General features: G+C 52.4%; 1 protein-coding gene across 6 annotated transcripts, besides 8 other annotated features; it reads left to right on the top strand.

Moving 5' to 3' along the window:
- Positions 690–1,601: an enhancer, noted in NCBI's record as "H3K27ac hESC enhancer chr19:6506805-6507716 (GRCh37/hg19 assembly coordinates)". NCBI's record gives its function as "activates a minimal SCP1, AML or CMV promoter by ChIP-STARR-seq in primed H9 embryonic stem cells {active_cell/tissue: H9 hESC(primed)}" and the evidence as "EXISTENCE:reporter gene assay evidence [ECO:0000049][PMID:30033119]".
- Positions 3,208–3,685: a transcriptional cis regulatory region, noted in NCBI's record as "candidate enhancer chr19.1358 targeted for multiplex CRISPR interference". NCBI's record gives its function as "positively regulates TUBB4A gene expression with high confidence in K562 cells {active_cell/tissue: K562}" and the evidence as "EXISTENCE:mutant phenotype evidence [ECO:0000015][PMID:30612741]".
- Positions 3,208–3,702: a biological region, named in NCBI's record as "CRISPRi-validated cis-regulatory element chr19.1358". NCBI's record gives its function as "regulatory_interactions: TUBB4A".
- Positions 3,563–3,702: an enhancer, noted in NCBI's record as "active region_13826". NCBI's record gives its function as "activates an Ori minimal core promoter by ATAC-STARR-seq in GM12878 lymphoblastoid cells {active_cell/tissue: GM12878}" and the evidence as "EXISTENCE:reporter gene assay evidence [ECO:0000049][PMID:35858748]".
- Positions 5,547–14,076, top strand: TUBB4A (tubulin beta 4A class IVa). 6 transcript variants are annotated; one of them, NM_001289129.2, is made up of 5 exons: positions 5,547–5,716; positions 6,133–6,239; positions 6,772–6,880; positions 6,998–7,108; positions 12,174–14,076. In NM_001289129.2, exons 2-5 carry the CDS (start codon positions 6,183–6,185, stop codon positions 13,229–13,231), a joined length of 1,335 nt encoding a protein of 444 aa, NP_001276058.1. In that variant the 5' UTR covers positions 5,547–5,716; positions 6,133–6,182; the 3' UTR covers positions 13,232–14,076. The 6 variants fall into 6 exon arrangements, with proteins under 6 accessions (NP_001276058.1, NP_001276056.1, NP_001276052.1 ...); NM_001289127.2 differs by having other exon boundaries at positions 6,081–6,239; NM_001289123.2 differs by having other exon boundaries at positions 6,063–6,239.
- Positions 5,830–6,099: a silencer, noted in NCBI's record as "silent region_9956". NCBI's record gives its function as "represses an Ori minimal core promoter by ATAC-STARR-seq in GM12878 lymphoblastoid cells {active_cell/tissue: GM12878}" and the evidence as "EXISTENCE:reporter gene assay evidence [ECO:0000049][PMID:35858748]".
- Positions 6,110–6,289: a silencer, noted in NCBI's record as "silent region_9955". NCBI's record gives its function as "represses an Ori minimal core promoter by ATAC-STARR-seq in GM12878 lymphoblastoid cells {active_cell/tissue: GM12878}" and the evidence as "EXISTENCE:reporter gene assay evidence [ECO:0000049][PMID:35858748]".
- Positions 6,460–6,569: a silencer, noted in NCBI's record as "silent region_9954". NCBI's record gives its function as "represses an Ori minimal core promoter by ATAC-STARR-seq in GM12878 lymphoblastoid cells {active_cell/tissue: GM12878}" and the evidence as "EXISTENCE:reporter gene assay evidence [ECO:0000049][PMID:35858748]".
- Positions 18,443–18,712: an enhancer, noted in NCBI's record as "active region_13825". NCBI's record gives its function as "activates an Ori minimal core promoter by ATAC-STARR-seq in GM12878 lymphoblastoid cells {active_cell/tissue: GM12878}" and the evidence as "EXISTENCE:reporter gene assay evidence [ECO:0000049][PMID:35858748]".

The raw sequence follows: 23,524 nt of genomic DNA, 5'->3' as shown, positions 1-23,524 counted from the left end.
TGGGCGCCTGTAGTTCCAGCTACTCAGGAGGCTGAGGCAGGAGAACCACTTGAACCCGGGAGGTGGAGGTTGTGATGAGCCGAGATCAGGCCACTGCACTCCAGCCTGGGTGACACAGTGAGACTCTGTCTCAAAAAGTAAATAAATAAGTAAAATATAAACAAGGCCAGGTGCAGTGGCTCATGCCTGTAATCCCAGCACTGGGAGGCCAAGGTGGAGGTTGCAATAAGCTGAGATAGGGCCACTGCACTGCAGCCTGGGAGACAGAGTGAGACTCCACCTAAAAAAATAATTATATATATATACACACACATATATATATACACACATATATATATACACACACACATATATATACACACACACACACACACAAGCTGACACAGCAAGCACTTGAAAACAAGATCTGGCCATAGATCTGGTCTACACAGCACTATTATTATTAATAATAGGCAGAGTGGGCCCTCTCTGTCCCCTCGGGGAGGATGAGGAGCTGGGGTGTATGTCAACAATTTCTCGAGGCTCACAGAGAGGGTGGAAACGTTGCCCCAGCCCCAGATGACAGGCAGATCACACCAACAAGGAGGCAGGCCTTTTCCTGGTTTTATGGACCTCAGAAAGAGAGATCAATTTTTTTTTTTCTTTTTGGAGAGAGGGTCTCTCTGTCACCCAGGCTGGAGTGCAGTGGTACAATCTCAGCTCACTGTAACCTCTGCCTTCTGGGTTCAAGTGATTCTCATGCCTCAGCCTCCTGAGTAGCTGGGACTGCAAGTGTGCGCACCATCATGCCCAGCTACTTTTTGTATTTTTAGTAAAGACAGGGGTTTCGCCATGTTGGCCAGGGCAGCCTTAAACACCTGGTCTTCAGTGATCTACCTGCCTCAACCTCCCAAAGTGCTGGGATTACAGGCATGAGCCACCACGCCCAGCCCACATAACTGCTTTTAAAGCTGGAAGAATCTTCAAACTTTCAGATATTCGTGAGCAAGATAAGAAGCACAGGGGCCGCGGCCGGGTGCGGTGGCTCACGCCTGAAATCCCAGCACTCTGGGAGGCTGAGGCTAGTGGATCACCTGAGGTTGGGAGTTCGAGACCACCCTGACCAACATGGAGAAACCCCGTCTCTACTAAAAATACAAAATTAGCCAGGTGTGTTGGCACATGCCTGTAATCCCAGCTACTCAGGAGGCTGAGGCAAGAGAATCCCTTGAACCTGGGAGGCAGAGGTTGCGGTGAGCCGGAGATCGCACCATTACACTCCAGCCTGGGCAACAAGAGCGAAACTCCGTCTCAAAAAAATAAAAAAGAAAAAAGAAGCATAGGGGCCAGGCGTGGTGGCTCACGCCTGTAATCCCAACACTTTGGGAGGCCGAGGCGAGTGGATCACCTGAGGTCAGGAGCTTGCGATCAGCCTGGCCAACATGGTGAAACCCTGTCCCTACCAATAATACAAAAATTTGCTGAGGGTGGTGGTGCACACCTGTAATCTCAGCTACTCAGGAGGCTGAGGCAGGAGAATCACTTGAACCCCGGAGTTAGAGGTTGCAGTGAGTTGAGATCGTGCCACTGCACTCCAGCCTGGACGACAAGAGCAAAACTCCGTCTCCAAAAAAAAAAGAAGTATAGGTGGGGAGGGGTTTTGGAGGGTTTTTGTTTTTTTTTTTTTTTTGAGATGGTGTCTCACTCTGTCGCCCAGGCTGGAGTGCAGTGGCGCAATCTCGGCTCACTGCAAGCTCCGCCTCCTGGGTTCACGCCATTCTCCTGCCTCAGCCTCCTGAGTAGCTGGGACTACAGGCGCCCACCACCACACCCAGCTAATTTTTTTTTTTTTGTATTTTTAGTAGAGATGGGGTTTCACCGTGTTAGCCAGGATGGTCTCGATCTCCTGACCTCGTGATCTGCCCAACTCGGCCTCCCAAAGTGCTGGGATTACAGGCGTGAGCCACCGCGGCCGGCCGTTTTTTAAAGCCACTGTTAGGTGTGGGTCAGAGAAACCTTAGGATGCCTTCAAGATTGTGCTGGAGCTGTAAAGAGTGCTAAGCCAAATTACTTTCCTATTGGAGCTATACTATGCGAGTAAATAAAAAATCATTTGCTGGCCAGGCGCAGTGGCTCACACCTATAATCCCAGCACCTTGGAAGGCCAAGGCAGTGTCTCACGTGTCCGTGTGAAGAGGCCACCAAACAGGCTTTGTGTGAGCAACAAGGCTGTTTATTTCACCTGGGTGCAGGCGGGCTGAGTGGGAAAAAGGAGTCAGCAAAGGGTGGTGGGATTATCATTGGTTCTTATAGGTTTTGGGAGAGGCGGTGGAGTTAGGAGCAATGTGTTGGGGGCAGGGGTGGATCTCACAAAGTACATTCTTGAGAGTGGGGAGAATTACAAAGAACCTTCTTAAGGGTGGGGGAGATTACAAAGTACATTGATCAGTTAGGGTGGGGCCGCAACAAATCACAATGGTGGAATGTCATCAGTTAAGGCTATTTTCACTTTTTTTGTGGATCTTCAGTTGCTTCAGGCCATCTGGATGTATACGAGCAGGTCATAGGGGTTACAATGGCTTAGCTTGGGCTCAGAGGCCTGACAGGAAGGAGGACCACTTGAGCCCAGGAGTTTGAGACCAGCCTGGGCAACATAGCGAGACCCTGTCTCTACAAAAAATGCAAAAATTAGCCAGGCCTGGTGGTGCCCACCTGTAGTCCCAGCTACTCAGGAGGCTGACGTGGGAGGATCACCAGAGCCTGGGAGGTCAAGGCTGCAGTGAGATATGATCACACCACTGTACTCCAGCCTGTGCAACAGGGTGAAACTGTCTCAAAAAAAAAAAAAAAAATGGCGGCCGGGTGCAGTGGCTCACGCCTGTAATCTCAGCACTTTGGGAGGCCAAGGTGAGGGGAATCACCTGAGGTCGGGAGTTCAAGACCAGCCTGACCAACATGGAGAAACCCTGTCTCTACTAAAAATACAAAATTAGCCGGGCGTGGCAGTGCATGCCTGTAATCCCAGCTACTCGGGAGGCCGAGGCAGGAGAATCGCTTGAACCCAAGAGGCGGAGGTTGAGATGAGCAGAGATTGCACCACTGCACTCCAGCCTGGGCAAGAAGAGCGAAACTCCATCTCAAAAAAAAAAATAGCTTGCTAAAAAGATAAAAACATACATACACACATACTAACTGAGTTGAGGGAGAGAGAGTATATAAGTCACAGAAGCTAAGGGATCGCCCCACCAAACCCATATAAGGTCTAGCCCCTCTGGAATTTATTCTGGCATCTAGTGTGAGCGAAGGGGCTAACACAAATTTTTTCCCAAAATAATTAACACAGGATTTCTCAGCCTCAACCCTGTTGACATTGGGCCTGCATCATTCTCTGGGGTGGGGCCGTCCTGTGCACTGAAGGGCTTTCAGCAGCATCTCTGGCCTCCACCCACTAGATGCCAGTAGTGCACACATAGTCTCACACACACATCCCCGCCCCCATCTGGGTACGACAACCAAAAATGTCTTCAGATATTGCCAAGTGTTCCCTGGGAAGGCAATATCACCGCTCCCCCGCCCCCCCGACACACACACACACACACACACACACACACACACACTCTCACACACACGCTGTTGAGAGCCACTGGTCAAATTTAGTGGTCATTGGGCAGGGCACGATGGCTCACATGTGTAAACCCAGCACTTTGGGAGGCTGAGGTGGGAGGATTGCTTGAGCTCAGGCGTTGGAGACCAGCCTGGGCAACATAGCAAGACCCCCATCTCCACAAAAAAATACAAAAATTACCCAGGCATATTGGTGCATGCCTGTAGTCCCAGCTACTCGGGAGGCTGAGGTGGGAGAATCACTTGAGCCCAGGAGTTCGAGGCTGCAGTGAGCCATGGCCATGCCACTGCACCCCAGCCTGGATGACAGGGCAAGAAATTAAAAAAAAAGAATTTGCTGGGCGCGGTGGCTCGCGCCTGTAATCCCAGCACTTTGGGAGGCCAAGGTGGGCAGGTCACGAGGTCAGGAGTTCGAGACCAGCCTGGCTAACATGGTGAAAGCCCGTCTCTACTAAAAATACAAAAATTAGCTGGTCATGGTGGTACGTACCTGTAATCTCAGCTACTGGGGCGGCTGAGCCAGGAGAATGGCTTGAACCCAGGAGGCAGAGGTTGCAGTGAGCCGAGATGGCACCACTGCACTCCAGCCTGGGTGACAGAGCAAGACTCTGTCAAAAAAAAAAAAAAAAAAAAAAAATTAGTGGCCATGGCAAATGTGAGGTCCCAACCACATGGCCAAGATGGCTTACCCCACCTCCCACCAGCAATACACCAAAGTCCTTGAGTGGGAAAGTCAAGGATGGGAGGCGAGGAGGAGACTTCCTGGGAGGGCGGGACTGGAGGCTGTCCAAGGAAGCAGCCCCAGGAGGCTTGACCTTCACATGAGGGGCAGCACAGGAAGTCCAGTCCAGCCTCTGATAATACTTAGACTCGAGAAAGATACAATTTATTGTTGACTCTGCAGGAGGGGAGACTATCGCCACCTTGTTAACTGGGTCATCGCATAATCAGACCCTGGAGGGTGGGCCTTCCTCACCACCCCAACTTGCAAATGTGAAATTCAGACACAGAGAGGAGCACCAGGGCAAGGTCATACACCTAATGCTACAGGAAATGCAGAGGCAAGGGAGATGGTGGGTAATAAATTATAATACTGAGCTGGGCGCAGTGGCTCATGCCTGGAATCCCAGCACTTTGGGAGGCTGAGGCAGGAGGATCTCTTGAGCTCAGGAGTTGGAGAGCAGCCTGGACAACATAGCGAGACCCCATCTCTACAAAAAATCTTGAAAATTAGCCAGGCGTGATGGCATGCACCTGCAGTCCCAGCTACTTGGGAGGCTGAGGTGAGAGGATTGCTTGAGCCCAGGACATTGAGGCTGCAGTGAGCTATGAGCATGCCACTGCACTACAGCCTGAGGGACAGAGCAAGACCCTGTCCGAAAATATATATATATAGGCCGGGCGCGTTGGCTCACGCCTGTAATCCCAGCACTTTGGGAGGCAGAGGTGGGCAGATGGCCTGAGGTCAGGAGTCTGAGACCAGCCTGAACAACATGGAGAAACTTTGTCTCTACTAAAAATACAAAAAAATTAGCCGGGCGTGGTGGCACATGCCTGTAATCCCAGCTACTCGGGAGGCTGAGGCAGGAGAATCGCTTGGACCTGGGAGGCTGAGGTTGTAGTGAGCCGAGATTGGGCCATTGCACTCCAGCCTGGGCGCCAAGAGCGAAACTCTGTCTCAAAAAAAAAAAAAAAAGGGTATAGATATAGATAAAGATAAATTACAATACTGGAGAGGAGGGGTGTTATTTTGGGAAAGCGAGGCAGCCCTGGGGACTCACTGTCCCCCTCCCAATATGAACCCAGCTGTCTTACTCCTCCACTCTCCTCCTTAGGCCAGGCTGGGGGTGACCCCACCTGGGACGAGCTCAATGCCCAGTAGAGGTGTACCAGGGGAGCCCACCAGCATCTGCACCCAATCATGGGAGGAAAATCGTGGTTTTACTATGCAGCTTCAGGACAAGCCCTCCAGGAACCTACCGCCCCCCACCCGCAAACCAGATCGCCGCTCCGGAGCCCCCAGCCCACTGGGAGGGCTCGCGGTTACTGCAAGGATTCTGGCGAATGAGGTCTAAATAGAATGAGAAGGGGGGCTGCGGACCGAGAAACTGAGGCAAGGCCTGGGGCGGGAGGGTGGAGGCTAAGGGGGAGGGGCAGGACTTCTCAGATGCCTGTTTACCAGGCGCTCCCCTCCCTTCCTCCGCCCAATTTCTGCGGGTGGCCAAGCCTGGCTGGGGGCTGGGACGGGGGAGACTGCACTGGTGGCTCCCTAAGGGGCCTCACCCCCAAGGCAGGGGTCGGAGCACGTGGCGTCCCGGACTTCTCTGGGAGGCCCCCTGGGGAGGGAGGTCCCTGCACCACCTCCCCCCACCCCAGCCCCCTCCATCATCCCGGGGCGGGACCAAGGGGCGGAGCGGGAGGGTGACCGGCCGTGACGCGTGCCCCGCCCGCTCATATAGCGGCTCCCGGGGGCGCAGGGACCGTGCTCCGCCGTCTCCGCCGCATCTTCCACCCTCGCCGCCGCCGCAGCTCCCCGCGCTCGTGCCACCGCCGCCGCGTCCACCCTCAGCGCCACCGCCATGCGGGAGATCGTGCACCTGCAGGCCGGCCAGTGCGGCAACCAGATCGGGGCCAAGGTGCTCGGGGAACGGGGCCCGGGGAGGCAGTGGCGGCCCCGGGGAGCACCGCGGGGTCGGTCCCCGGAGCACCCCGCAACCTGGGAGTCTTTGGAAAGGAATGAGGTCCCCAGGAGGCCAGCGCGCCCCAGGGGCCTTGGGGGAAGGGTCGCGGGGTGGGGGTGGCAGGGCCAGACTGGGAACAAAGAGGCTGCGGAGAGTGGGAGCCAGCCTTCTGTCCGCCTGTCACAGCTGGGCCCACAGCTGGGCCACTGTCCCCTCCTCACGCACAAAGAGCCCCGGTGCCTCCCCCGGGCTGCAGCCTGGGTGCGCTGGCACCAGCCGGCCCCGCTGGGTGCTGACTCGGCTGCACCCCGCCCCCACCGCTCCTTCTTGCTGCCTCATCCTCGCCCCGACACCATGCCTCTAGGTCCCCCGTTCACCTTGCTGGGGGAGAGGTGGCAGCTAGGGAGCTAGTTGGGGGCTGGGGGCAGTCCTCGGCTTGGCCACCGGCTTCCCCTCTCTCAACTCTTCCGACCACCTCTCTCTCTAGTTTTGGGAGGTTATCAGTGACGAACATGGCATCGACCCCACAGGCACATACCATGGGGACAGTGACCTGCAACTGGAGAGGATCAACGTGTACTACAACGAGGCCACAGGTAGGGCGAAGGAGGCACCTTCCAGGTGGGAAGGGGCAGCTGGGAGGGAACAGGATGCTACCGGGCGCCTGTGGTTCCTGGCACGCATCGAACTGCCCTCCATCTGTTTCCCTGCAGGAGGAAATTATGTCCCCAGAGCGGTGCTGGTGGACCTGGAACCCGGCACCATGGACTCTGTCCGTTCTGGCCCCTTCGGTCAGATCTTTCGGCCGGACAACTTCGTGTTTGGTGAGTCCCCCAGCAGGGAGCCAGAGGCTGGAAAACCTCCTTATTCCTGCTAACACCACAGAGTCAACAGCCACCACCGGGGCCCACAGACCAGAGATGGGGTGGACAGGGCACCAGGCACCAGCCCTGCATCCAGGGCTGTGATGAGGGGATGCTCAGGCCACTGTGAGAGCCCTGAGGAGGGCGGATACAGAGAAGGATTCAGGGAAGTCTTCCTGGAGGAGGTGGCATTTTAATTCAACGGTCTGAACCGGAACCAGACTGCCTGGGTGCACATCCCAATTCTGCCACTTCATGCATTCAACAAACAGTGAGCACTCACTGCATACCAGGCCCTGTTCTAGAAGCTGGAGATCCAGGTAAGAATCAAACAGCCGGAGCTCCCTCTCTGCCCCAGTGCAGCTCCCATTCTGGTAGAAGGTGATAGGCCACAAAGGAGATAAATAAGTAAAGCTCTGCCAGGGGTTGATTCAGATGGATAACTTAGGATGGGCTCCTCAGCCTTTCTGGGCCTCAAAAATCCTCTTTTTTTTTTTTTTTTCAGACAGGGTCTGTCTGTCCTGCTGTCACCCAGGCTAGAGTGCAGTGGCATGATCACGGCTCACTGTCACCTCCACCTCTGGGCACACGTGATCCTCTTGCCTCAGTCTCCCAAGTAGCTGGACCTACAGGCATGCACCACCACACCCAGCTAATTTTTTAGTTTTCTTTGTAGAGAGGTGGGTCTCTCTATGTTGCCCATGCTGGTCTCAAACTCCGGGACTCAAACGATCCACCCAACTCAGCTCCCAAAGTGCTGGATTACAAGCATGAGCCACCTTGCCCGGCCTCCTCGTCTTTAAAACAGGGATTTCACTGGGCATGGTGGTTCATGCCTATAAACCCAGGACTTTGGGAGGCTGAGTCAGGAAGAGAGCTTGAGGTCAGGAGTTCGAGACCAGCCTGGGCACCATGGTGAGACCCTGTCTCTACAAAAAGAAAAAAATTTTAATTAGCTGAGTGAGGTGGTGTGCACCTGTAGTCACAGCTACTCGTGAGGCTAAGGTAGGAGAATCACTTGAGCCTGGGAGGTTGAGGCTGCCATGAGCTATGATGGTGCCACTGCACTCCAGCCTGAGCGATGGTGTGAGACCCCATCTCTAAAAAAGATCAAATAAAACAGGGATTCTAAAATGCTATTAGAATTGTGAGGCTCAGGGTGGGCACGGTGGCTCACACCTGTAATCCCAGCACTTTGGGAGGCCGAGGCGGGTGGATCACCTGAGGTCGGGAGTTTGAGACCAGCCTGACTAACATGGAGAAACCCCATCTCTACTAAAAATAAAAAATTAGCCAGGCATGGTGGCACATGCCTGTAATCCCAGCTACTCGGGAGGCTGAGGCAAGAGAATTGCTTGAACGGCAGAGGTTGTGGTGAGCCAAGATCATGACACTGCACCCCAGCGTGGGCAACAAGAGTGAAACTTCGTCTCCAAAAAAAAAAAAAAATTGTGAAGCTTAAAGTCATGAATATGTGTAGAGTTTAGAACAATGCCTGACACAGAGAAAGAGGTAAATAAGCATTTGTCGTTGTTTTCATTACTATCTGCAGTCTAGAATGTGAGTAGGATTTGGACTGGCCAAAGGGCATGGAAGGGAGGAAAGATGTTTAAGACGGAGGCAACAGCATATGTGAAGATAGTGGGGTGTCCACACCCTGGGACAATCCTTCCGGGAAAGCTTTCCTGGCTCCAGCTGGCTGCATGTCCCCACCCTGGCTCCACCCGCCTCCAATACTCCCAGCATGTAAGACGTGCTAAATGCAGGACCTGTCCTGCCTCTCTGAATCTTTTCCGCAACTCGCCTCTTACTTCCATTTTACAGGTGAGAAAACAGAGGCACAGAGACGTTAGGTCACTTGCAGAAAGTCACACTGCAAGCCACTGGGGCTGTCAGGAGCCAGAGGAGAGGGTCTGACTACTAGGTCCACGCTTTTTTTTTTTTTTGAGACGGAGTCTCCGTTGCCCAGGCTGGAGTGCAGTGACGCAACCTCCACCTCCCAGATTCAAGCGATTCTCCTGCCTCACGAGTAGCTGGGACTACAGGCATGCATCACCACACCTAGCTAATTTTTTGTATTTTTAATAGTGACGGGGTTTCGCCATGTTGGCCAGGCTGGTCTCCTATTCCTGACCTCTCAGGTGATCTGCCTGCCTCTGCTTCCCAAAGTGCTGGGATTACAGGCATGAGCAACCGCGCCTGGTCTGAGCCCACACTTTTAATGCTCCTCCCACCCCCTGGCCACCCAGAGGCCATAGAATCTCTTGGCCCAACTGTAAGCCCTCTGGTCCTCCTGAAATCACTCACACCATTTGGCCAATCTCATTTCATCTTGATTTCACCCAGCCATTTCCCAAGGACCTATGATGGGCCACGGCCACAAAACTGCATCATTATGTTTTGAAATCTTCCAACAGATCAGAAAGGGGAAGTCACTTGTCCAAGGTCACACAGTTTGTCTTGTCAGTCCCGAGAATCTGCAGTCTAAACCACCAGGCTCGGGAGGAGGAGGGAGGGGGTGACCAGAGGTGGCTTCTCTGAGGATGTGGCATTGAGCTGAGACCTGAAGGAAGTGAGGAAAAAGTCAGGTGAATACCTGGGGGGAAAGCATTCTAAGCAGCCAAGCCACTAGTGCAAAGGCCCCAGGGCAGGACCACACCTGGAAAGCTGGAGTAACAGCTGCGGCTGAAGCAGAGTGAGGGAGGGGATGGGGCAGGTCCGGCAGGGCCTTGTGGCCTGCAGGGAGGATTTGGGCTTTGACCCCAAGGTAGGTGGGAGCCATGGAGGGCTGTAGGCAGAGGAGGGACGGGACCTGACTTACTTGCTCTCAGGTGTCCTCTCGTGGGTACTGTGGAGAGGACAGACTGGGTGATAAGGGTAGGAGCCAGGGGACCAGGACAGAGGGAATTGAACTTATCCAGGAGGGTGATGCTGGAGCTGAACTAAGGTGGAGACAGATGAGGGGTGAAAGAAAACGTTAGCTGTTCACAGTAATACCGGCCAATATTCTTTTTTTTATTCCATTTTTTTTTTTTTTGAGACAAAGTCTCACTCTGTCGCCCAGGCTGGAGTGCAGTGGCGCGATCTCGGCTCACTGCAAGCTCCACCTCCTGGGTTCACGCCATTCTCCTGCCTCAGCCTCCCGAGTAGCTGAGACTACAGGCACCCACCACCACATCCAGCTAATTTTTTCTATTTTTAGTAGAGACGGGGTTTCACCGTGTTAGCCGGGATAGTCTTGATCTCCTGACCTCGCTATCCGCCCGCCTCGGCCTCCCAAAGTGCTGGGTTTACAAGCGTGAGCCACCACGCCTGGCCAATATTCTTCTTTTTTTTTTTTTTTTTTTTTGAGACGGAGTCTTGCTGTCGCCCAGGCTGGAGTGCAGTGGCACGATCTCGGCTCACTGCAGGCTCAGCCTCCCGAGTAGCTGGGACTACAGGCGCCCGCCACCTCGCCCGGCTAATTTTTTGTATTTTCAGTAGAGACAGGGTTTCACTGTGTTAGCCAGGATGGTCTCGATCTCCTAACCTCGCAATCTGCCCGCCTCGGCCTCCCTAAGTGCTGGATTACAGGCATGAGCCACTGCGCCTGGCCAATATTCTAATACTGATTCTTTTCCTCCGGGAGCTTGCATTCCACAGTGAGCTTGCAGACAATAAACATGATTAACAAGAAAACACAGGCCAAGCATGGTGGCTCACGCCTGTAATCCCAGCACTTTAGGAGGCCATGGCAGGTGGATTGCTCCAGCTCAGGAGTTCAAGAACAGCCTGGGCAACATGTCGAAACCCCACCTCTACAAAAAAAAGATACAAAAATTAGCCAGATCTGGTAGCATAAGCCTGTAGTCCCAGCTACTCAAAAGGCTGGGGCAGGAGGATCACTTGAACCTGGGAAGTCAAGGCTGCAGTGAGCCATGATTGCACCTCTGTACTCCAGCCTGGGCAACATACCAAGACCCTGCCTGAAAATGATATTATTATTAATAATGATGTTAAATATTAATCTTTTTATTGTTATTATTTATTTGTTTTAGAGACAGGGTCTTGCTCTGTCTCCCAGGCTGCAATGGTGTGATCATAGCTCACTGCAGCCTCCAACTCCTGGGCTCAAGCAATCTCCCACCTGAGCCCCCCTAGTAACTGGTACTACAGGTGTGCCACCACCATGACTGGCTAATTTATATATATATATATATATATATATATATATATATATATATTTTTTTTTTTTTTTTTTTTTTTTTTTTTTTGTAGAGACATGGCCTCACTAGGTTGCCCAGGCTAGTCTTGAACTGCTGGGCTCAAGCAATCCTCCCACCTCTGCCTCCCAAAGTGTTAGGATTACAGGCATGAGCCACTGTGCCCAGTCTTGGTTTTTTTTTAGGCAGGGGGCGGGGGAGTGTTTTGTGTGTATGTGTGTTTTTGAGATGGAGTCTCACTCCGTCACCCAGGCTGGAATGCAGTGGCTCAATCTTGGCTACCTGCAGCCTCCTCCTCCCAGGTTCAAGCAATTCTCTTGCCTCAGCCTCCCGAGTAGCCAGGGACTACGATCGCTCACCAGCACACCTGGCTATAATTGTTATTATTTATTATTATTATTATTATTATTATTTTGAGACGGAGTCTCGCTCTGTTGCCCAGGCTGCAGTGCAGTGGCACAATGTCGGCTCACTGCAAGTTCCGCCTCCTGGGTTCACGCCATTCTCCTGCCTCAGCCTCCCGAGTAGCTAGGACTACAGGCGCCCGCCACCACTCCCGGCTAATTTTTTTTGTAATTTTAGTAGAGACGGGGTTTCACCGTGTTAGCCAGGATGGTCTCGATCTCCTGACCTCGTGATCCGCCCACCTCGGCCTCCCAAAGTGCTGGGATTACAGGTGTGAGCCACCGCACCCGGCTATTTGTTATTATTTTTGATAGTTACTAGTATTCAACTACTAGAGGCCCTCCAGGTGGTGGAGAGACAGAGTCAAGGGTTGGGGCTCCCCATAACTGCATGTGTGTCCCCTCCCCTTCCCTCTCTAGGCCAATCCGGAGCCGGCAACAACTGGGCAAAGGGGCACTACACGGAGGGCGCAGAGCTGGTGGACGCTGTCCTGGACGTAGTCCGGAAGGAGGCCGAGAGCTGCGACTGCCTTCAGGGCTTCCAGCTGACCCACTCGCTGGGGGGTGGCACGGGGTCCGGAATGGGCACGCTGCTCATCAGTAAGATCCGCGAGGAGTTCCCAGACCGCATCATGAACACCTTCAGCGTGGTGCCCTCGCCCAAAGTGTCAGACACGGTGGTGGAGCCCTACAACGCCACGCTGTCTGTGCACCAGCTGGTGGAGAATACGGATGAGACCTACTGCATCGACAACGAGGCACTCTACGACATCTGTTTCCGCACCCTCAAGCTGACCACCCCCACCTACGGGGACCTCAACCACCTGGTGTCGGCCACCATGAGCGGGGTCACCACCTGCCTGCGCTTCCCGGGCCAGCTGAACGCCGACCTGCGCAAGCTGGCCGTCAACATGGTTCCCTTTCCTCGCCTGCACTTCTTCATGCCCGGCTTCGCACCCCTGACCAGCCGGGGCAGCCAGCAGTACCGGGCCCTGACGGTGCCCGAGCTCACCCAGCAGATGTTCGATGCCAAGAACATGATGGCGGCGTGCGACCCGCGCCACGGCCGCTACCTGACCGTGGCCGCCGTGTTCCGGGGCCGCATGTCCATGAAGGAGGTGGACGAGCAGATGCTGAGCGTGCAGAGCAAGAACAGCAGCTACTTCGTGGAGTGGATCCCCAACAACGTGAAGACGGCCGTGTGCGACATCCCGCCCCGCGGCCTGAAGATGGCCGCGACCTTCATCGGCAACAGCACGGCCATCCAGGAGCTGTTCAAGCGCATCTCCGAGCAGTTCACGGCCATGTTCCGGCGCAAGGCCTTCTTGCACTGGTACACGGGCGAGGGCATGGACGAGATGGAGTTCACCGAGGCCGAGAGCAACATGAATGACCTGGTATCTGAGTACCAGCAGTACCAGGACGCCACGGCCGAGGAGGGCGAGTTCGAGGAGGAGGCGGAGGAGGAGGTGGCCTAGGCTGCTCCCATCGCTTCCCACCTGTCCCCTCGAGGCTTCTGACCTTTGATCCGCTAGGCCCCCCATCTCTGAACCCTAGAGCCCCGCTTTCCCTCCAAGGCTGACTCCCCGCTGACCCTAACAATACCTTTGGAGCTCGCTTTACCTCTGGCTACTTCATCTCCGACCCTGGCTCCCCTTTGAGCCCTAATTTATCTTTAACCCCCTTGAGCTCTTCCAACCTTGACATTCCCAGGAGGAGCCCCGCTTCACCCCTTCTGACTCTGGAAACCGCACCTTTAACTTTGCAGACCTTCCTTCACCCCTGACTTCTGCTTCACCTTTGACCTCTGCCCCCCATGAATCCCATTTTACCTCTAGACCTATAAGTTCTGGTTTATGTTTGACCCCTCCCTCTGAGCTGCACTTCACCGCTGACCTTGCCTCACCTTTAACCCCCCACCTGAGCCCCAGCTCCTACCTCTGACCCCAACTTCTCTTTGATCTCTGAATCCCCTCTGACTCCAACTTCTCTTTCACCCTCTATGAGTCCCATTTTACTTCTACACCTGCAAGTCCTGGTTTATATTGGACCCCTCCCTCCGAGCTGCAGTTCACCTTTGACCTTGCCTCACCTTTCACCCCCCACCCCCCACAGCGTCAGCTCCTACCTCTGACCCCAGCTTCTCTCTGATTCCCACAGGCCCCATGCATCCTCCCTGCCTCACTCCCCTCAGCCCCTGCCGACCTTAGCTTATCTGGGAGAGAAACAAGGCCTGGTGCCTGTGAGGAAGAGAGGTCACCCCTACCCTCCCTCCCCGCTTCCCTGCCTCACCCTCAATAAATAAATTAATTGTTGTCATGGATGTTTCTGCCGAATCCCTCTTTCCTCTCTTACAGCAAGTGCGGGCTTTTCTCTACAGGATGGAGGAGGGTACCGATGACATCTCATCTCTGGATGGGGGGCGTGCTGGGGAGGGATCAGACGGGCCAGGCTAGGCCACCCACTAACCCTGAGGTTTTGACTAAGCCATTTGCCTTCTCTCAGCCTCGGTCTTCCCACCTGTAAAATGGGATCGTATGTTTTCCCCCAGGATCCCCCCACAACTGTTATAGGAATGGGGTCCCAATCCAGACCCCAAGAGAGGGTTCTTGGATCTCAAGAAAGAATTCAGGGCAAGTCCATAAAGTAAAAGCACGTTTATTAAGAAAGTAAAGGGGTAGGGCACGGTGGCTCACACCTGTAATCCCAACATTGGGAGGCTGAGGCAGGTGGATCACCTGAGGCCAGGAGAGACCAGCCTGGTCAACATGGCGAAATCCCATCTCTACTAAAAATAAAAAAATTCGCAGGGCGTGGTGGTGGGCGCCTGTAGTCCCAGGTACTCCGGAGGCTGAGGCAGGAGAATCGCTTGAACCTGGGAGGCAGAGGTTGCAGTGAGCCAAGATAACGCCACTGCACACCAGCCTGGCAACAGAGTGACACTCCGTCTCAAAAAATAATAATAATTAAATAAATAAATAAAGGAGCCAGGTGCAGTGGCTCATGCCTGTAATCCCAACACTTTGGGAGTCTGAGGTGGGTGGATCACCTGAGGCCAGGAGAGACCAGCCTGACCAACATGGTGAAACCCCAACTCTACTAAAAATGCAAAAATTACCTGGGCGTGGTGGCAGGCGCCTATAGTTCCGGCTACTTGGGAGGCTGAGGCAGGAGAATCACTTGAACCTGGGAGGCAGAGGTTGCAGTCAGCTGAGATGGCGCCACTGCACTCCAGCCTGGGTGACAGAGCGAGACTCCGTATCAAAAAAAAAAAAAAAAAAAAAAAAAACAAAGAATGGCTACTCCACAGATGAGAGCCACTGGTTGCCCATTTTTATGGTTTTTTCTTGATGATATGCTAGACAAGGGGTGGATTATTCATGCCTCCCCTTTTTAGAACATGTAGGGTGACTTCCTGACATTGCCGTGGCATCTGTAAACTGTCATGGCGCTGGTGGGAGTGTAGCAGTGAGGACAACCAGAGGTCACTCATCATCATCTTGGTTTTGGTGGGTTTTGACCAGCTTCCTTACTGCAACCTGTTTTTTGTTTGTTTGTTTGTTTGTTTTGTTTTGTTTTGCTTTGTTGTTGTTGTCGTTTTTGAGACAGAGTCTCACTCTGTCGCCCAGGCTGGAGTGCAGTGGCATGATCTCGGCTCACTGCAGGCTCCACCTCCCGGGTTCACGCCATTCTCCTGCCTCAGCCTCCCGAGTAGCTAAGACTACAGGCGCCCACCACCACATCCAGCTAATTTTTTCTATTTTTAGTAGAGACGGGGTTTCACCGTGTTAGCCAGGATAGTCTTGATCTCCTGACCTCGCGATCCACCCGCCTCGGCCTCCCAAAGTGCCGGGATTATAGGCATGAGCCACCGCACCCGGCCTACTGCAACCTATTTTATCAGCAAGGTCTTTATGACCTGTATCTTATGCCGATCTCATCCTGTGAGTTAGAATGCCTTAACCATCTGGGAATGCAGCCCAGTAGGTCTCAGGTCTCAGCCTCATTTTACCCAGCTCCTATTCAAGATGGAGTTGTTCTGGTTCACACGTCTCTGACACACCCACCTCAGAATTGTTCGTGAGGATCTGAGGAGATCTCAGGAGCACAGAGTGGGTGCTTGGTGGCAGAGGTACTGCTGTTCTCTGTGCAGCACCTTGCAAATATGGAAGGCAGGAAGGGGAATCTCTAGGGAAGGGTGCCAGGAAGATGGCAGCCTGAGCTGGCACCCAAGTGGCAATCTTGCCAGAGTAACAACACAGCTCACCCACATGAAACTTTTCTGTGTGCATGACTCATGCCTCATTTCATGCAAGCCTCACACCAACCCTGGAAGGCCTAAGCTTCTATCCCCTTCCAAGCCAAGGTTTAGAGAGAGAAGAGCATTATCAGTTAGCTTTTGCTGTGTAACAATCCCCCAAAACTTAGTGGCTTAAGACAAAAACAGGTATTTATTTTGCTCCCAAATCTGTAATCTGAGCAAGGATTGGCGAGGCAGTTCATTTAGGCTCCCTATGACATCAGCCAGAGCATCTTAGCCAGAGGTAGAGGGATCTACTTCCAAGGTGGCTCACAACAGACTGGCCAGGTGGTGCCAATTATCAGCTGGGGGCTCAGCAGGAGTAAGGAGAACAAAGACCTTAGTGTCTCTCCATAGTCCCCTTGGGCTTCCTCACAACATGGCTGCCAGGTTCCCCCAGAGCAAACACCCCAAGAGAGCAGGACAGAAGTAAATGCAAAAAAAAACGGATTGCATTTTTATGACCTAACTTCAGAAGTCATACAGTGTCACTTATTCAGGACTCACCAACAAGGCAGTCACTAAGCCTTGTTCAGATTCAAGGGGATGAAGTACAGACTCCAGCTCTTTTCTTTTTGAGACAGGATCTCACTCTGTCACCCAGGGTAGAGTGCAGTGGTGTGATCATGGTTCATTGAAACCTCAAACTCCTGGGCTCAAGCAATCCTCCCACCTCAGCCTCCAGAGTCACTAGGACTACAGGCACATGCCACCACAGCTGGTTAATTTTTTTGTATTGTTAGTAGACATTAGAGATAGGGTCTCACTTTGTCACCCAGGCTAGTCTCCTGCCTCAGCCTCCCAAAGTGCTGGGATTACAGGCATGAGCCACCACACTTGGTCCATCCTCCAGCTCTTTTATTTTGTTTTGTTTTGTTTTGTTAGAGTTTCACCCTTGTCGCCCAGGCTGGAGTACAATGGCATGATCTTGGTTCACTGCAATCTCCGCCTCCTGGGCTCAAGCAATTATCTTGCCTCAGCCTCCTGAGTAGCTGGGATTACAGGCACCCACCACCACACCCAGCTAATTTTTGTATTTTTAGTAGAGATGGGGTTTCACCATGTTGACCAGGCTGGTCTCAAACTCCTGGCCTCAGGTGATCCACCCGCCTTGGCCTCCCAAAATGCTGGGATTACAGGCATGTTCCACCATGCCCAACCCACACTCCAGCTCTTGATGGTAGAGTGGCAAGATTCTAGAAGAGCACGTAGGGTGAGTAATAGAGCCATGGCCATCTTTAGAAATTACAAATTTTTGGCCAGGTGCGGTGGCTCACTCCTGTAATCCCAAAATTTTGGGAGGCCAAGGCGGGCAGATTACTTGAGTCCAGGAGTTTGAATCCAGCTTGGGCAACATGGCAAAACCCTGTCTCTACAAAAAATACATAATAATAATAATAATAATAATAACTCGCTGTGGTGGTGCACAACTGTAACCCCAGCTACTCAGCAGGCCAAGGAGGTCAAGGCTGCAGTGAGCTGAGCTGTAATTGCACCACTGCACGACAGCCTGAGTGACAGAGTGAGACACTGTGGGAGAAAAGAAAGGGAAGGGAACGGAAGGGGAGGGGAGGGGAAGTAAGGGGAGGGGAGGGGAATGTACTGGGCACGGTGGCTCACACCTGTAATCCCAGCACTTTGAGAGGCTGAGGCGGGTGGATCACGAGGTCAGGAGTTCAATACCAGCCTGGCCAACATGGTGAAACCCCGTCTCTACTAAAGGCACAAAAAATTAGCTGGGTATGGTGGCACGCAACTGTAATCCCAGCTACTCAGGAGGCTGAGGCAGGAGAATCACTTGAACCTGGGAGGCAGAGGTTGAAGTGAGCTGAGATCGTGCCATTGCACTTCAGCCTGGGCAACAGAGTGAGACTCTGTCTCAAAAAAAAGAAGGAAAGAAAGAAAAGAAAGAGAGAGAGAAAAGAAAGGAGGGAAGGAAAGAAGGAAGGAAGGAAGAAAAGAAGAAGGCAAGAAGACAGGAAGACAGGAAGGAGGGAAGTAAGGAAGGGAGGGAGGGAGAGAAGAGGGAGGAAGGAAGGAAAGAAGGAAGGAAGGAAAAAATGAAGGAATAAATTACAATTTGCCACACAAAGTCACTTGCCCATGGTCACATGGCTACTAAACAGTGAGCTGGAATTCAAACCCTGCTAGTTGAACCCTAGAATCCTGACACAGGCAGCCAGAGTTCCGTGTGGGGACCATTCTAGGTATATTAAGCAGACAGGAACTTAATACAAGAATCGATGGTGCTTGCAAAATCACTGGAAGACGCTGAGAGAGTGGGCTGTGTAGGCTTCTCAAATTTTACCGTGCAAAAGAATCAGCAGAACAACTTGCTAACGCACAGTTTCTTCAGTCTCACCCCCTCACAGTTGCAGATTCAGTAAGTAGGTCCGGGGTGGGGCTCAAGACTCTGCATTTTTAACAAGTTCTCAGGAGATGCTAAAGATGTGTGAATAAGACCACAGATTGAGCAGCCCCGGAATAGGTAGGACCCTCGTGACACCACAGAGCTGGGTCACCAAGGAGCAGCTCCTTTGTATAGGGAGAAAGGTGGAGAACAAAGAGGCAGTTACCAGAACTATGACCTGGAAATGGGTCCAACAAAGAACACGAATTCATGAAAATAAAATGTATAGCTCCACAACCCTGCTTCTCAGCAAGATATACACACAAGCCCACACTGCCTCACTTCCACTTTCTAAATCTCTCATGAGCATTTCTCATTGGTAGAACCAATTCTGCATCCAGAAACGGAGCAGCAAAGGCATCTGGGAAATGTAGGGGTTGGAGGGGTTTTTTGCAGCGTCTGCATTAGGAAGACGAGCCAGGGGCAAGGGTAGGTGAGAGGGGGACACGCGGAGAGCCAAGCAGTAACGTCCACCACTCTATGCTAGACACCAGGCACCCAGGCTGGAGCCTCAGTCTTCTTGCTACGTCCCCCTGCAGCCAGGAGTAAGGAGAGGCATGAGGGAAGCAGCGTGGACATCAGCCCACGGCAACTTCAGCAGGCCCAGCACAGCACAGCACAGCACTGGGTGGTAGACCAGCAATACAAAGGATTTAGGTAGCAGCATAATGGATAGATCTGGGTTGGGTTCCCCACTCAGCATCCTCCTTCCTTGCACAAGGCACTTAACTACTCAGAAGTGTACGGACTTTTTATTTGCTTTTTTGTTTTTTGTTTTTAGTTTATTAATTATTTATTTATTTATTTATTTTTGAGATGCAGTCTCGCTCTGTTGCCCAGGCTGGAGTGCAGTGGCGCAATCTCGACTCACTGCAAGCTCCGCCTCCCGGGTTCACGCCATTCTCCTGCCTCAGCCTCCCGAGTAGCTGGGACTACAGGCGCCCGCCATGACGCCAGGCTAATTTTTTGTATATTTAGTAGAGATGGGGTTTCACCATGTTAGCCAGGATGGTCTTGATCTCCTGACCTTGTGATCCACCCGCCTCGGCCTCCCAAAGTGCTGGGATTACAGGCGTGAGCCACCGCGCCCGGCCTATTTATTTATTTTTGAGACAGAGTTTCGCTCTTGTTGCCCAGGCTGCAGTGCAGTGGTGCGATCTTGGCTCACTGCAATCTCCACCTCCCAGGTTCAAATGATTCTCCTGCCTCAGCCTCCCAAGTAGCTGGGACTACAGGCACCCACCGCCACACCCGGCTAATTTTTTTTTGTATTTTTAGTAGAGACGGGGTTTCACCATGTTGGCCAGGGGCTGGTCTCGAACTCCTGACCTCAGGTGATCGGCCCGCCTTAGCCTCCCAAAATGCTGAGATTAGGTGTGAGCCACCACACCCAGCCTGGTTTTGTTTGTTTCTTTCTTTCTTTTTTTCTTTTTTTTAAAGTATTTCCCCAAACTTTGATGAGGCAGTTGCTTTGGGGGGTTCAACATTTTTTTTAGTCTCCTTCTGTCACCCAAGCTGGAGCGCAGTGGCACAATCATGGCTTACTGCAGCCTCGACTTCCTGGGCTCAAGTGATCCTCCTACCTCAGCCTCCCAAGTAGCTGGGACTACAGGCATGTGTCACCATGCCAGCTAGCTTTTCTGTAGAGATGGCGTTTCACCATGATACCCAGGCTGGTCAGAGGCTGAGGTGGGAGGATCCCTGAGCTCAAGCAATCCACCCACCTCGGCCTCCCAAAGTGCTGGGATTACAAGAGCAAGCAACCGCGTCCGGCCAGGTGTAGGTTTTTTTGTGTTTGTTTTTGAGACAGAGTCTCACTCTATTGCCTGGAGAGCAGTGGCGTGATCACGATTCACTGCAGCCTCGACCTTCTGGGCTCAAGTAATCCTCCCACCTCAGCCTCCTGATTCGGAACTACAGGCGTGTACCACCACACCCAGCTAATTTTTAATTTTTTTTTTTTTTGAGGTGGAGTCTGACTCTGTCGCCCAGGCTGGAGTGCCATGGCATGATCTCAGCTCACTGCAACCTCCACCTCCCAGGTTCAAGCGATTCTCCTGCCTCAACCTTCCGAGTAGCTGGGATTATAGGCATGCGCCACCACACGTGGCTAATTTCCATATTTTTAGTAGAGATGGGGTTTCACCATGTTGGCCAGGCTGGTCTTGAACTGCTGACCTCAGGTGATCCACCCATCTCAGCCTCCCAAAGTGCTGGGATTACAGGCGTGAGCCACCACAGCTGGCCTGCACCCAGCTATTTTTTTAGATTTTTTTATAGAGACAGGATCTTGATATATTGCCCAGGCTGGTCTTGAACTTCTGGCCTCAGGCGATCCTCAGGCTTCAGCCTCCCAAAGTGCTGGGATTACAGGCGTCAGCCACCATGCCTGGCAAAGTTAAGGATTTTAAGATAACAGGATTATGGCAAATTATTTGGGTGGGTCCAATACAATCACAAGGATCTTTATAAGAGGGAGACAGAGGATCAGAGTCAGAGAAGAAGTGAGGACAAAAGCAGGAGTCCCAGCAAGTGAGAGAGATTTGAAGATAAATGCTACTGGCTCGGCCAGGCACTGTGGCTCACACCTGTAATCCCAGGACTTTGGGAGGCTGAAGCACAAAGATCTCTTGAGGCCAGGAGTTTGAGGCCACCCTAGGCAACATAGCAAGACCCTGTCTCTATGAAAATTGTTCCAATAAGTTAGCTGGGTGTGGTGGCACATTGCTGTAGTCCTAGCTCCTTGGGAGGCTGGGATGGGAGGATAACATGAGCCCAGGAGTTCGAGACTATAGTGAGCTATGATGGCACCACTGCACTCCAGCCAGGGCAACAGATGGAGACCCTGTCTCTCAAAAAAATTAAAAATAAAAATAAAAAGGCTAGGCGCAGTGGCTCACACCTGTAATCCCAGCACTTCAGGAGGCTGAGGCAGATGGATCACCTGAGGTCAGGAGTTCCAGACCAGCCTGGCCACATGCTGAAACCCCGTCTCTACTAAAAATACAAAAATAAGCCAGGCGTGGTGACGGGTGCCTGTAATCCCAGCTACTTGGGAGGCTGAGGCAGGAGAATCGCTTGAACCTGGGAAGCGGAGGTTGCAGTGAGCCAAGATCGTGCCATTGCACTCAGCCTGGGCAACAAGAGTGAAACTCCGTCTCAAAAACAACAAAAAAATTAACGATGTGTGGTGGCTGTGCCTATAACCCTAGTTGCTCAAGAGGCTGAGGTGGGAGGATCACTTGAGCCAAGGAGTTACAGGTGGCATTGAGCTATAATGGTACCACTGCACTCCAGCCTAGGAGACACAGAGAGGGAGACCCCATCTCTTAAAATAATTAAAAAAATAAAAACAGGCGGCCGGGCGCGGTGGCTCACGCCTGTAATCCCAGCACTTTGGGAGGCCGAGGCAGGTGAATCACTAAGTCAGGAGATCCAGACCACCTTGGCTAACACGGTGAAACCCCGTCTCTACCAAAAATACAAAAAAATCAGCCAGGCGTGGTGGCGGGCACCTGTAGTCCCAGCTACTCGGGAGGCTGAGGCAGGAGAATGCCATAAATCTGGGAAGTGGAGCTTGCAGTGAGCCAAGATCACGCCACTGCACTCCAGCCTGGGCGACAGTGAGACTTCATCTCAAAAAATAAATAAATAAATAAAATAAAAATAAAAACAGGCTGGGCACTGTGGCTCGTGCTTGTAATCCCATTCACTTTGGAAGACCGAGGCCTGGGGATTGCTGGAGGCCAGAAGTTCAAGACCAGACCAGGCAATAAAGCGAAACCCCATCTCTACAAAAATATTTTTTAAAATTAGCTGAGCTGACCAGGCACGGTGGCTCATACCTGTAATCCCAGCACTTTGGGAGGCCAAGGCGGGCAGATCACTTGAGGTCAGGAGTTCAAGACCAGCCTGGCCAACATGGGGAAACCAGATCTCTACTAAAACACACACACAAAAATTAGCCGGGCGTGGTGGCGGTCACCTGTAATCCCAGCTATTCGGGAAGCTGAGGCAGGAGAATTGCTTGAACCCAGGAGGCAGAGGTTGCAATGATTGCGCCACTGTACTCCAGCCAGCCTGGGTGACAGAGCAAGGCTCCGTCTCACAAAAAAAAAAAAAAAAAAAAAAAAAGGGCCGGGCGTGGTGGCTCATGGCTGTAATCCCAGTACTTTTGGAGGCCGAGGCGGGTGGATCAGTGGATCACGAGGTCAGGAGTCCAAGACCAGCTTGGCCAAGATGGTGAAACCCCACCTCTACTAAAAATACAAAAATTAGCTGGGTGCGGTGGCAGACGCCTATAATCCCAGCTACTTGGGAGGCTGAGGCAGGAGAATCGCTTGAACCCAGGAGGCAGAGGTTGCAATGAGTGAAGATCGTGCCACTGCACTCCAGCCTGGGTGACAGAGTGAGACCCTGTCTCAAAAATAAAATTAAATTAAATTTAAAAAAAAAAACAGTTGTGTGTACAGTAGCACACAACTGTAGTCCCAGCTACTCAGGGGGCTGAGGTGGGAGGATCACTTGAGCCCAGGAGGTCAAGGCTACAGTGAGCTATGATGGCGCCACTGCACGTCGGCCTGGGTGACAGAGTGTGACCCCATCTCTCTTTTTTTTTGGGTAGGGGGATGGAGTTTCGCTCTTATCACCCAGGCTGGAGTACAATAGCACGATCTTGGCTCACTACAACTCCCAGGTTCAAGCGATTCTCCTGCCTCAGCCTCCCAAGTAGCTAGCTACATAGCCACGCATGGTGGTACAGATCTGTAGTCCCAGCTACTTGGGAAGCTGAGTCAGGAGAATCACTTGAACCTGGGAGGCAGAGGTTGCAGATATTTTGTCATAGCAGCCTTAATTTTTTTTTTTTTTAACATAGAGTCTTGCTCTGTCACTCGCTGGAATGCAGTGGTGCAATCAAAGTTCACTGTAGGCTTGAACTCCTGGGCTCAAGTGATCCTCCCGCCTTAGCCTCCCAAGTAGCCGGGACTACAGGCGCTATCACCACACCTAGCTCAAACCTCTTTTTATTTATTTATTTATTTATTTTTATTTTTTTATTTT

Source organism: Homo sapiens, chromosome 19 (assembly GCF_000001405.40).
Source record: "Homo sapiens chromosome 19, GRCh38.p14 Primary Assembly".
Classification (NCBI taxonomy): Eukaryota; Metazoa; Chordata; class Mammalia; order Primates; family Hominidae; genus Homo; species Homo sapiens.
This window is presented reverse-complemented; position numbering and strand designations above follow the sequence as displayed.